The following is a 14,081-nucleotide window of genomic DNA, read 5'->3' on the forward strand; positions in this document are numbered from 1 at the left end:
TATGCTTAACCAAACTCAAGTTTAAAAGGAAAAAAATAAAAACACGATACAGGTCAAACAAAAGCCATCTGCAGGATGAGTGGAATCGGCCAATTTTTGACCCTTGGTATGCAGGTTAAAGCCCAAATAATAAACTTTGCATTCTAGGTCTGTACAGGTTTGACACTAACCTACCTTTCCAGCTCGCCTCCTGCTCCTCCTCCAGGTCTGCTCCTAGCCAAGAATAGTTCTGGTTCCCAGGACACCCAAAGCCCCTCCCTACCCCTGCCCCTTTGCTCTGCTGGCATCTGGAATGCTCTTTCTCTCACCTTCCCCACCCTCCAGCTCCTCCTGGAAGTTCTACTATTCCTCCTGGAGGCTTTCCACAGTTTAACTCCAGCCAATGAATGATTAAATAATTACACACAATCTACTCCCCCTGGGCCTCCAGGGCACTCTCAAAGAGCTCTGTTTCACCTGTGTTTACTTTCTACCACATCCTGGCCAGTGCCACACCTCAGAAGGCTTCAGAGAAAAATTGTGACTAACTGACTTGTGTCACTTCTCTCCTACTAAATCATAAGCAAGTTGTCTGCAGAGCCCCCCACTGCCAGCTCCTTGCCCCAGCTCCTCCCACCACCACCATGACCCAGGACAGCGCCTTATAGGTCCCAGATGACTGTCAAGGCTTCTTGAAAGCTTTGGCTCTAAGGGATTAAACTGGAAGACTGCAGCTGATTAACTCACTAGGTTTAAATTAAGTTCTTGGGCTTGCTGCAAGCAGAGCAAAACTCTCCCGTCTCTCTGCAGCCCCTTCTCAGGCCTCTGCTCTCTTTGTGGGCATGGCCAGTGTCTCTTAGCTGCATCCTGGGTCACTCAAGGTCTCAGGGTAGGAGAGCTGGATGTACAAATCACACCCTCATCCTCCTGGGGGAGTGGATCCAGGTGCTGGTGGAGGGATGCCAGCATCACCTGGAAGCAGAAAGTTATGCCCTGAGGGAGCTGTCCCTTGTTTGACTAATCCAAATTAATACCACTATTATTGTCTTACAGTGTTAGGGCCATGAGAGGCCATATAGCCATTTAGACTGAAGGAGGAAACCGAGACCCAGAGAAGCATGATTTGCCCAAAGACAGGGTAAGGGTGAACTCTAGATAGGATCCAGGACATCTAACTCCAACTCTGGAGACTTTTTTCCACTAAGCCAAAGATTTGCTGCTATCATTTGAAGTGTTCTGATAAAAACACAAGTGAGATATCTCAAGACTACATTTTTCAGACACTCCATCTCACAGCTGTGCAAAAATGGGCTGCCGATTTGTTTTTGTCCTTTCTGCTTCTGTGAATGTGGCATTTGGAGTGTGACATTTGCTGCTCCAGCCACTTCTGATCTCAGTGTAATTTCCTTAGCTTAGGAAGATGCGTGGTATGTGTCTGTGTGCTTGTCCCTACATTTCAAACTCCCTGGAGAACATGTGTCGCAGAAGTAGACAAAATGAGAAAATAATCACTGGTAGTTTGCTGCAATGTCTCTTGGTCTGTTCTCTTTCTCAACCTTCCTAAGTTTGTAGTTGGGACAGACTTCTGCAACAAAGGACAGATTAACAAGAGAACAGTCCAGCTTATCAACACGTACAGGACACATCGCGTGGGAGAAACCTCAGTGAAGAGTTAACTCAAGGCAGTGTTTACGAGTCTGCCATATATAGTATGTCTAATAAAGAACAATAAATTTCAGAGAAGTGACAAGACAAAGGAAAGTAGTCCTGGACTTCCAAAAATGGGAAGCTATGGGAAGGTAAATATATGGGCAAACACTAATGGAGTAAAGTCTGCTCACAGGTCCCTCTGGCACCATCTCTGAGCTGATCAAGGGTTGTCTCCAGTAATGAAGAATGTACATCTTATCTTTAGGTAAGAAAAGAGACAGGGAGGATAAAAAACCTTTTGTCTCTGTAAATCTCTGTCCTGCTTTTAGGCAAGCAAAGGGAAGACACAGAGCTCCCCTGCATCTTAATTATCTTCAGCTCAACAATCCTCTTATTTTGAGGAGGCATATTCTGGTCTCCCACAGTTGCCATATTTCCCTGGGAACATTCAAACGAGGAATAGCTGCCATGAAAGTCAAGAAAAGACATTTTGGGAGCCTCTCCAAACCTATTCTGGGTCAGAGGCTGCCTGGTTTAAGAAAAAAGGGAGAGAGAAAAAAGGAAAAGATAGTTTACACTTACACTACTTTTTCAAAATAAGAGATTATTCTGTTTATTCTCATGCCCATGATGGGAATCTCTGCTGAAGAGTAAGTCAATGGAGGAAGGCATCTATTGAAGCGCTAAGACAAGATCATTACCTTCATTTTACAGATAAGGAAACTGAGGCTCAGGGCAACTCAAACTAAGCACCTACTATGTGCAGGTTGTGTTTTAAGGACTCTATATTTATTTACCCAGTTAAGATTTACAGTAACACTATGAGGCTAGTGCTAGTATCATCACTCCCATTGTACAAGTGATAAACTGTGGTTCAGAAAGAACTAATATTCCCAGGAGCATTTAGTTCATAGCTTGACAAAGCCAGGATTTGGACCCAGGTGGTTGTACTCAAAGCTGATGTTCAAAATCATTCATCTGTTAATTTTTAGTCAAATGAATGGGCCAGGCACTGTGCTAGGTTCTGCAGATACAAAAGTGAGTGAAATAGACACAGTTCCTGCCTTCAAAGTGCCTCCAGCCTAGCAGGAAAGAGACTGTCAATAAATTATATAAAACTGAAAGGGATCAGAGTGTATTGCCTTAGTAAAAGGATTGTTTTGAGCTGAAGGCAACTGGGAAAGAGCAGACTGCAGAAAGGCTCTCTACTTTTCCCTATTTGCTTAAAAGCAGGGCATATATTTTTCTTTGTGAAGGTGTTCCCCTTCCCTCTCTCATACCAGGAAAGGCAGAATAACTCTTAGTCACCAGAGATAACTCTAGACTCTTTTCATCCCAAAGATGACCCCAAAAGGAATCTATAACACAAACCCTACTAAAATAACACTTACCTTCCATTAGCTTCCCCATATATTTACCTTCTCACAACTTCCTGCCTCTAGAAGCTCAACTGCCTTTTCATTTGTCTTGTTAGTTCTCCAGAAATTCATCGCCCTTTGTTAAAATGGTATATACACCTCCAACTCTGACTATGTCTTTGGGATTTTCATTTCATTTCTCTGAGGTACCTTACATGCCCATGAAATAAACTTTTTTCTCCTGTAATTATGGCTTTTGTCAATTTAATTTCCAGGGCCACAGCTGCAGAATTGAAAAGCATAGAGAAAAAAGTTTTTTCCCTCCCCTACAAAATCTCCTGGCACTTAATCCTATGCCCTTTCTAGTTCATGATGTTGATATCACACTCCTGAGTCAGCAGTGAATGACATTTCCGAGATTGTTTGTTCCATCCTCAATCCTCATGTGCTCCTTTTACCCAAACCTGACCTTCTCACCACTCTGTCTGCCTTCCTAAATGGGCTTTATTTTGTGAGGTGAGGCTTGAGATCTCAGTCTTCATGGCCAGCATTTTGTAGGTTTCTTGGCAGCATCTTTCAGAGTCAGTAGCCCAAAGCAAGCTGTGGCCCACATCTCATCAACATTGTGATGATGTGGCCCAGCCAAGGGAAACCAGAAGCCAGAGAGAGAGAGACAGGTTCAAATTGTGTTTTGTTTACAATTTCTTAGTGACACAAACAATGCCAAGCTTTGATGGTTTCTAAGAAATGGCAAGCATTTCTATGAAAGCTATCATTTAAAGTCAGCCGTTGACCTCTGCTCATGCAAAGCATGTTTCCACATCTAGGCCCAGATTTCTTTACCTCAGCCCAGAGTGCCATGTCTCTATCCTAAGCCCTGGCGCCTTCTGCTACTACAGAAGCAATAAAATCCAGCCAGAGATACCACAACTCTAGTAGATTAAACAGGCAGAGGGAGACAGAGTGACAACTGATATGCAAATGTATGTGTTTATTGGAACCTTGGGGATACCACGGAATGTAAAGAATTCTTATTTCCAAGTATTACAGAGGGGGCTTTGCTGGGCCCTAATGGTGGGACCTAGGTAAGTGTCACTGGATGTTGTGAGCACATACCTGGCCACAGTGTCTGAGTCCCTAAGCACTGTGTGACAGGTGTAACCCAGGTGTGCCTCAGGCTTACCTGCTTGAATGTCAGTTACAGTTAGTCACTTGGTAGTTACCCTGAAGTCTACTCCACCTGCTATGTAGCAGTCCATCTTTTTTCGGCTTCTTGAGCCAGGGAGCCCTGCAGTTGGTCAGGAGCTCTACAAGAGTGAAATCAAATCCTTCCATGGCTAGGATAAAGGTGTGTACAAATATGAATGAGGGACTTGAGAAGGGTGGGGGAGGATTGCAGGAAGTGAGGCTATAAGGAGGAAGAGTGGGGATCCTAGGGGGAAAACTCCATGACTGCTAAGGAGTATGGTGGAAAGGCCAGACTCAGCACCGAGACCCAGATCCTCAAAGAAACTCTGAGGGCAGCACACCCCAGACACCACTCTTGCCACAGACTTGGGTCTTCCGGCCCAAGCATCTCTGCAGTGGGACTCCCCTGGGAACAGTTGTGTGTGAAAAGGAGAGGGTCTGCCCCTATTCTAGGAGAGATTGCTGAGTACTGGTGACTAGGAGCAGGTGGTGAGGTAGCCAAGTGCTGATGCTTTACACCCTAATGGTGTCAGAGCAATTGTTGGAGGTATGCACTTCTCCTTTACGCATGAGCAATTCCTCCCCCTTCCAAAGGTTTTGGACATCATTGAGCTTTGAGGGAACGTCAGCTTTGAACACAACTACCTGGGTCCAAATCCTGGCTTTGTCAAACTGTGAACTAAATGCTCCTGGGAATATTAGTTCTTTCTGAGCCACAGTTTATCACTTGTACAATGGGAGTGATGATACTAGCACTAGCCTCATAGTGTTACTGTAAATCTTAACTGGGTTAATGAATATACAGTCCTTAAAACAGAACCTGGCATGTAGTAGATGCTTAGTAAATGTGAACCACTAGCTAGAAAATAAGCAGGGCCAGTGTGATGGAGTGCCCATAAAGCACCCCCCGGTCCTAGCATATCTCAGCATCCTGCTAAGGTAGACTTTCCATCCAAGTCCCTCCAGGCCCAAATTGTTGTCCCACAAGGGCCCCTACTAGGATACAGTCATTAAATCTTTCAAGGGTAACTCGTTCTGACCTTTAGCAGAAAACTGAACAGAGAGGATAGTTTTCACAGAAGTGGAGGGTAGTTCTCACACAACCCTGTGGGGAAGGTTCCGGGGTCCTAAGGAAAGGACACACCTAGATTGGCTCCAAGAGAACACAGATGGGGACTGTGCTTGTGAAAAGAATTTTTTTATTTTTTATTTTTTGAGACGGAGTCTTGCTCTGTCACTCAGGGTGGAGTGCAGTGGCGTGATCTTGGCTCACTGAAACCTCTGCCTCCTGGGCTCAAGAGATTCTACTACCTCAGCCTCCCCAGTAGCTGGGATTGCAGCCGCATGCCACCATGCCTGGCTATTTTTTTTTTTTTATTTTAGTAGAGATGGGGTTTCGCCATGCTGGCCAGGCTGGTCTCGAGCTCCTGGCCTCAAGCGATCTTCCTTCCTCAGCCTCCCAAAGTTGTGGGGTTACAGGTGTGAGCCACTGTGACCAGCCATGAAAAGAATTTTGAAAGAAGATAGGAGGCCAGTGGTTGTACCAGTGAATACCCTCACCATCAATGTATATTAGAGTACCTGGCCACCAGGCTGTATGGTCAAAATCTTGGATTGTTGCTAATCTGGGAGGTGAAAAAAGAATCTTAATGTAGTTTTCCCTTGCATTTCTGTGATTATAAGGTTGAATATCCTGAAAAGAGTTCAAAAGGGATACTGAAGTAGGATATCAAAAATAAACTTACGTGATTCACACGAATGTATTCCAGGCTAGCCCTTTATATATATATATATATATGTTTTATATGCTCTCATGTATATATATATATATATATATATATATATATATATATATATATATGCTCTATTGTGTATATATATATGTATATGCTCTTATGTGTGTGTATATATATATATATATATATATATGTATGCTCTATTGCCCAGATACTGGTCTATTGCCCAGGCTAAAGTGCAGTCACACAATCATAGCTCGCTGCAGCCTCAGACTGTTGAACTCAAGCCATTCTTCACCTAGTGTGCCACCACACCAGGCTACTTTTTGATTTTTTGTAGAGAAAGTGTCCTCCTATGTTGCCTGGGCTGGTCTCTAACTGCTGTCCTCAGGCAATTCTCCTGCCTGACCTCCCAAAGTGCTGAAATTACAGGTGTGAGCCACTGTGCCTGGCCTCTAGGCTAGCCTTGAGCACAATTACTTGCAGCAGCAAATACCCCTGCCATTTCCTCTTCAAGCAAAGACTGCCTTGAAAAATTTTCCCAAAATTGAAAAGAAAGGTGTCTGGGTACCCCATCCGCCCACTCAAACACACATACACGAGGCAGTATTGCCTGGTTTGAAGGCTCGTACTCTTCACTAACCATTACTCATACTATCTCTTAGGCATCCTTGTAAGTTACCTCCTTGTATCTCACAGCTCAGTTTCCTTGTTTGTTAAGTGAGGAAAACAACATGTTCTTCGTCATCATTGTAAGGATTAAATAACTATATAAAGCATTTGGCACAATGTCTGCCACACTCCACACTCTCAATAAAAAAGTATTAGAATATTTAACCTCCTGTCCCAACTGCCATAAAAAACGTTCAGCATCTCAAAACGGAGTTTCAAAAGCTCGGGGACTTGAGTTCCCCAAATGAATGTTCTCCATCTCTCTTATGTTCAGAGCGAATACCAATGGGTCCAAACAGCCTGGAAAAAAACAATCCTGGTCTATCGAGGGCATGTGAAGATTCTGGACTGACAGGGAACTAGATACAAGTGATTTACTATCCTCAGAGAAGAGGATAGCAATTCTGTTTTTGTAGTACTCACAAAGAGAAAAATGCTGGCATGAAGTCCCACAAAGGGAAGGTGAAGAAACAAGAACACTCAGGCTTTTAAATCTTACCCTCCATCAGCTCCCAAAATCTTATGTCTTTAGATTACAATCCAAATATCATTTTATTTTAAACCAAAAGGAACACAGGTGCTCTGTGACAAATCAAAAATCCCAAGGCTTAGCAGGAAATGTTTAGATTCCAAAATCACTTTTTCCTGGCAAGGCAAAAAATAGCTAGGAAAAGAACTCTATGGGGATGTGTCTTCTCTCCTGGTCAGAAAAAACTGTTGTGGAAGTGGCTTCTATGTAAATATTTGCAGAATGAGCAAATAAACCACTAAAATCACCCAGGGCCTGCCACATTCTGTCTTCCCAGGACAATGCTCTAAATTTAAGGGTGGGACTCTAGTCAGAATCTGAACTTTATTCTTTCTGTTTTGAACATCAGAATTAAAGTTTAGAAGTTGGTTCTGCTTTTAAAATTTGTCCCATTTTTTTTCCCCTTCATCGTGACATTAAATTGTTTAGTTTCCACTGTTTCTCCCCCAGTCCTCCCCTCTCCCTACTTTTGAAGGTCTCTCTCTCTCTCTCACTCATCCCAGGAGGTTGGAAGGACCCATTTGGCCACAAAGACAGCATTTCCACCTACCAACCCAGCCCAGATGTCTAAGTCCAGCTTAGCTGTGACCCCTCCTTGTGGACTCCATGGCAGAGACAGGTGGACAAAAGCAATGACTGTTAAGGTGCCATCTGGGGTCAAGGCCACATACAGTCTGGCAGCACCTCAGCCAATTGCCTTCACCCCTATCCTACTCCATTGACAAGGCCAGGAATATCTTCTCCCTTGCCTGTCTGAGCTTAGTCCTCTTCATTTACACATTTCCTAATTAAATAGTACCCACAAGTGAACAGGAAAGCACTCCCCTAAATGGAGGGCCATTAGTGTCCTTGGGATCAGCTAATATGTCAGTAGTTGTTTGTAGAAAAATACTGAATAGTAGCACAGCTGTTACTATTTATATGTAAACACAAACGGTGGCTGGCCGTGGTGACTCATGCCTGTAATCCCAGTGCTTTGGGAGGCTGAGGCGGGAGCCTCCCTTGAGCCCAGGAGTTTGAGACCAGCATGAGCAACACGGGAGACCCCTGTTTCTACCAAAACAAAACAAAACAACCTCCACAAATATTACTAATCATATGCAACTAACAACATAAGCTATTAAAAATATGTGTGACCAGTTTACATTAAGATAAGTCCATCTAGTGATTTTTATTTCATTTTTGGATCAAAATCATTTGTACGTGGTAAAAAAATACGATAGTACACACAGAGTTTATGCTAAAAATTATTGCCCCTCCCCCAATGCTCCCCAAGACATGGCAAATTTAAACCTTTTCTGACTTTGGTTTTTCTGAGGTAACCCTGATCATTCTAAATCACATGCTTATTCCTCAGTTTCTTAATGTATCAAATCTGGATCTCTATTGATTGCCCAGGATGAAAAATGGGGTTTACCTCACTTGTGTTTTTGCTCCTTTCCCTGTCTCTACCTTCTTCTTCTTGACGTTTTGCAGTCATATGCTGTTGTATGATTATTCTCCATGCCTCTACTAGACATCTTTGCAACTTAAAGAAACATTAAATCACTGTTTATTATTCCATCCTTAGCCAGTGTCTCTGGATACCCTCCCACACAAAAATGTGTTGACCCTACCCAAATCTTCTTCCACTTTTTTTCTCTTTTGCCTCTGTCAACTACATCTTTACCACAGTGACATTCTGTGCTGGAACTATTATGGGGTCTTTTGTATTTTATCTGCAGTTAATTAAAAAGTTGGAACCCAATAATTATGTCTACACAAGTGGCTTAGGACACAGCTACATAGCAGCAAGGGCCATCTTTTCTTATCTGTGGCTTTAAAGTTTCCAGCATCAAGATCAAATGTCAGACAGCCTTCACTTCAGAGTGCCTTTAGACCTTCACCTCCAAAATGCAACAATACAAAATACTTTATTCTCGGGAACAAGTACCCAAGTTGAAGCCTCAGTTCCCCTAGAATAGTTAATTCAATTTCTCTTGAGGCAAGTCTTACTTTTAGTATTTTTATTATTTTTTAACTGTTTGTATTCCCTGGGATGCATGTTTGGGTGAAGTCCTAACTGGTAGCAGTTGATCTGCAGAAAGACTTTCAAGTATTGGTCCTGTTTCCGGTGCCCATCTCTCCTCATTCCTACCCTTCAGCTCAGTGACATCAGCCCGCAGCCTTTCCAGGGTCCTGCCTTTCCATTTCACTTCTCTGGGGCTCCTCATTGTACATCAATATACACTTCATCCACTTCCCATCTCCCAGAAATTTGTCGACGTTTCTGATGCACTCATTATCCCCCTTATGTTCTCTTGGCTCATTTTTTTATACTTCATTACTGACATTTAAGATCTCCAGCAAAGGCATACATTTGGTCTGCCACCTTAAGCTAAATAATAAATGACTTTTTATACTAAATAGGCAGTGAAACAAGTCCCTACTTTGGATATTTTATTCATACTACGTTTTTATTAAGATCAGAATAATAGTCCCAACAGTGGTTTGTTGTTGTTGTTGTTGTTTGAGATGGAGTCTCGCTCTGTCACCCAGGCTTGCTGGAGTGCAGTGGCACAATCTCACCTCACTGCAACCTCCACCTCCTGGGTTCAAGTGATTCTCCTTCCCAGCCTCCCAAGTAGCTGAGACTACAGGTGCACACCACTACTCCCAGCTAATTTTTGTATTTTTAGTAGAGACGGGGTTTCTCCATGTTGGCCAGGTTGGTCTCGAACTCCTGACCTCAAGTGATCCACCCGCCTTGGCCTCCCAAAGTGCTGGGATCACAGGTGTGAGCCACTGTGCCCAGCCCAACTTTTGATTGGCCTTTGATACTTCTTTACATTTGGGCCATTCTGAGGCAGTTATGCACACTGAGCATCTCTAGGAGCCTGGCATTGAGCCAGGTGCTAAACAGGAAATGATTTACACATACAAATCAAGACAGTATCAAATATAATACATTTTAGTGCTGTAGTAATATCCATGTTCCCATTTTGTTTGCCTTTCATATTTTTTATTTCCTTTTCTCTTTTCTTTTTTTGAGACAGAGTCTCGCTCTATTGCCCAGGATGGAGTGCAGTGGCACGATCTCAACTCTCTACAATCTCCACCTCTCGGGTTCAATCAATTCTCCTGCTTCAGCCTCCCAAGTAGCTGGGATTACAAGCATGAGCCACCATGCCTGGCTAATTTTTGTCTTTTTAGTAGAGATGGGGTTTCACTATGTTGGCCAGGCTGGTCTCAAAGCCCTGACCTCAAGTAAGCCACCCACCTTGGCCTCCCAAAGTGCTGGGATTACAGGAGTGAGCCACCATGCCCAACCCCTTTCACATTTTTCTATTTGTATTTTATCTTAACCTTAACAGGTTTGAATCCTTACACTCAGGATTCAATGTAATATCCTGTAACATTTTCTAGGCCCAAGTGTCTTTCTTGCCCTCAGTCAATGCTCACTAAACAGAGCAGATGCCGTTTTGCCTGGCAGAGCAGCCCACATAAGCACAGCACCCAGGATGAGAGCATTCTTAGGTGCTCCGTGAAAATTTGTTGAATGCAATACTCATCTGAAAAAAGTTCCAAAAAGACAACCGGAAAAAAGAAAGAAAAAAATTTTTGAAAAATATAAGAACATATCCAAGAAATAAAAAATATGAATGATTATATTAAAAGCCACTGGCCGGGCGCGGTGGCTCATGCCAGTAATCCCAGCACCTTGGGAGGCTGAGGCAGGTGGATCACAAGGTCAGGAGATGGAGACCATCCTGGCTAAGACAGTGAAACCCCGTCTCTACTAAAAATACAAAAAATTAGCCAGACGTGGTGGCGGGCGCCTGTGGTCCCATCTGCTCAGGATGCTGAAGCAGAAGAATTGCTTGAACCTGGGAGGCAGAGGTTGCAGTGAGCCGAGATCATGCCACTGCCCTCCAGCCTGGGCGACAGAGCGAGACTGTCTCAAAAAAAAAAAAAAAAAGCCTCAGGGCCTTATACAATGAATAAAAAATGAAAAGGCCCATTCAAGCCTTATTGTCATGAAATTTCAAGTAACGAGAAATAATTAAACTATCTGAAAGCTCCTAGAGAGAAAAAGCAGGCCATGTTCAAAGGACCAGAAATCTAAATGATATCCAGACTTCTCAACAGCAGCTCTGAATACTAGAGGACAGTGGACCAGTAACTTCAGATTTTTGAACTTTTTTGAGACAGTCTCACTCTGTTGCCCGGGCTGGAGTGCAGTGGCACGATCTTGGCTCACTGCAACCTCTGCCTCCCAGGTTCAAGCGATTCTTCTGCCTCAGCCTCCCGAGCAGCTGGGACCACAGGCATGGGCCACCACACCTAGCTAATTTCTTTTTTTGTATTTTTAGTAGAGATGGCGTTTGACCACATTGGCCAGGCTGGTCTCAAACTCCTGACCTTGTGATTCACCTGCCTCGGCCTCCCAAATTGCTGGGATTACAGGCAGGCATGAGCCACTGCGCCCAGCCTTTTTTCTTTTTTTTGGACAGAGTTTTGCCCTTGTACCCCAGGCTTGAGTGCAACGGAGCGATCTCGGCTCACTGCAACCTCTACCTCCCAGGTTCAAGTGATTCTCCTGCCTCAGCCTCCCCAGTAGCTGGGCCTACAGGCATGCGCCACTACACCTGGCTAATTTTGTTTTTGTATTTTTAGTAGAGACGGGGTTTCACCATGTTGGCCAGGCTGGTCTCGAACTCCTGACCTCAGGTGATCCACCCACCTTGCCCTCCCAAAGTGCTGGGATTACAGGCGTGAGCCGCTGCACCTGGCCATTTTGTATGAAAATTACTTTCAACCTGCATTTCTAATCTCAGGTAAACTCTGTGCCAAGTCAAAGAACAAAAACAAAAACCAAGTATGTGATTAAGACATTTCCAGGCATTCAAGTGCTCCAAAAATGTATCTCCCATGGATCTTTTCTTAGAGAACTAGTAGGGTGTGTGCTCTACCAAAATGATGAAATACACCCAGAATAAGAAAGACATGAACCCAATCAAGAGGGGAGGAAAGTAAGCCCAAAGATGAAGGAGCAACAGGATCAGACAGCAGCCTGCCCACACTTGTTCAGAGATAAAAGGCTCCAGGAGTTGCTGGGGGCTGGGGATCCCAGAGGGAATTGACTGCAAAAGGCACAGCAGGACTTTTCAGGGGAACTGCCATGTTCTATATCTTGATTTTGGTGAGGTTTCATTGTATACAATGACCACATGTACAGTGTTCAAAACTCTGTAAAATGAGTGGAGTTTTTTGTTTGTTTGTTTTTCGTTTTGAGACGGAGTTTCGCTCTTGTTGCCCAGCCTGAAGCGCAATGGCGCAATCTCGGCTCACCGCAACCTCCACCTCCCCTGTTCAAGTGATTCTCCTGCCTCAGCCTCCTGAGTAGCTGGGATTACAGGCATGTGCCAGCACGTCCGGCTAATTTTGTATTTTTAGTAGAGACGGGGTTTCTCCATGTTGGTCAGGCTGGTCTCAAACTGCCAACCTCAGGTGATCCGCCCATCTCAGCCTCCCAAAGTGCTGGGATTACAGGCATAAGCCACTGTGCCTGGCTGAGTTGTGTTTTATTGTATGTAAACTGTACTTCAATACAACTGATCTTTGTAATTTGCTGGAAGAATGCATGATCTAGGCGGAGAGTGGTGCATATGTCCTAAATCCTAATCTATAGTCAGAAAACAATAGACATATAAAACTAAAAGATGTGTAAGCACATTCTCTAGTAATACAGAGGTAACTACTAGAAATAACTCAAGGAGTTAAAAAGCGGAAACCTCTTGGAGGGGTGGGAATAGGACTTGGGAGTAGAGACAGCTGTTGTTCATAGTAAGCTTTGTGATGCCAGCTGACCTTTAAGCTACGTACATGTTCTTACTTTGATAAATATCAATATAATAGTTTTTTGGATTTTATTTATTTATTTTTATTTTTTTGAGACAGGATCTGGCTCTGTCACGCAGACTGGAGTGCAGTGGCACAATCATGGCTCACTGCAGCCTCAACCTCTTGGGCTATAGCAATCCTCTTGCTTCAGCCTCCCGAGTAGCTGGGACTACAGGTGCACACCACCACACCCAGCTAATTTTTAAAATATTTTTTAGAGTCTTGCTATGTTACCCAGGCTGGTCTCAAACTCCTAGGCTCAAGCGATCCTCACACCTCGGCCTCCCAAGGTGCTGGAATTAGAGGCATGAGCCATCATGCCTGGCTAAGATTATAGTTTTTGAAAGTGAGAAAAGGTTTGGAATAACAGGATGCCTAGTCTGGTGGAGGTAAAATGTTTGCAATACCCAGAAAGCTTTGGACCAACAGGAGCTAAAGTTTCCTTCAGACAGTTACTGTTTATTTAGCTCTTTCATTTCATTTAGAGTGAGAATAAAGAAATGTATTACAGCAATGAAAATAACAAATTACAGCTACCCTCTTATGGATACAATGTTGAGCAGAAAAGGCAAGATCATAAAAAAATGTACACTAACTAGATGATAGCTAGACTGGTGTGTTCTTATGACAATTGAGCTCTATGCTATGAGCTGTGGATTCTTCTATATGTACATTACACTTCAATTAATTCTTTAAAGTATACCATATGATTCTATTTGTTAGGCTCCCCAAAAAGACCACACGAAACTATAGTTTAGGGATACATACAAAGGTAGTAAAAATGTAAAGAGCCAGTCTAGTGATCACCTTTGGGATACAGGGAGAGGGTTGTGGATGGGATTGAAATCCACAGTAAGGGGAACTTCTGCAGTGCCAGTAGATCCTATTTCTTGGTCCAGATAGTGTTTACACAAGTATTCACTTTACAATTCTGCTAAACTGAATATATAAGGTTTTTATTGATTGATTGATTGAGACTCTGTCATCCAGGCTGGAATGCAGTGGCACAATCATGGCTCACTGATTTGATAAGCATCGACCTCCCTGACTCAAGTGATCCTCCTGCCTCCAAAGTAGCTGAGACTA

General features: G+C 43.5%; 3 annotated features.

The window, feature by feature from the left end:
• Positions 7,581 to 7,875: a silencer, noted in NCBI's record as "tiled region #2296; HepG2 Repressive DNase matched - State 5:Enh". NCBI's record gives its function as "represses a minimal TATA promoter and a strong SV40 promoter by Sharpr-MPRA in HepG2 cells {active_cell/tissue: HepG2}" and the evidence as "EXISTENCE:reporter gene assay evidence [ECO:0000049][PMID:27701403]".
• Positions 7,581 to 8,246: a biological region, named in NCBI's record as "Sharpr-MPRA regulatory region 2296".
• Positions 7,747 to 8,246: an enhancer, noted in NCBI's record as "NANOG-H3K27ac hESC enhancer chr6:52984755-52985254 (GRCh37/hg19 assembly coordinates)". NCBI's record gives its function as "activates a minimal SCP1, AML or CMV promoter by ChIP-STARR-seq in naive and primed H9 embryonic stem cells {active_cell/tissue: H9 hESC(naive and primed)}" and the evidence as "EXISTENCE:reporter gene assay evidence [ECO:0000049][PMID:30033119]".

This window comes from Homo sapiens, chromosome 6 (genome assembly GCF_000001405.40).
Source record: "Homo sapiens chromosome 6, GRCh38.p14 Primary Assembly".
Lineage (NCBI taxonomy): Eukaryota > Metazoa > Chordata > Mammalia > Primates > Hominidae > Homo > Homo sapiens.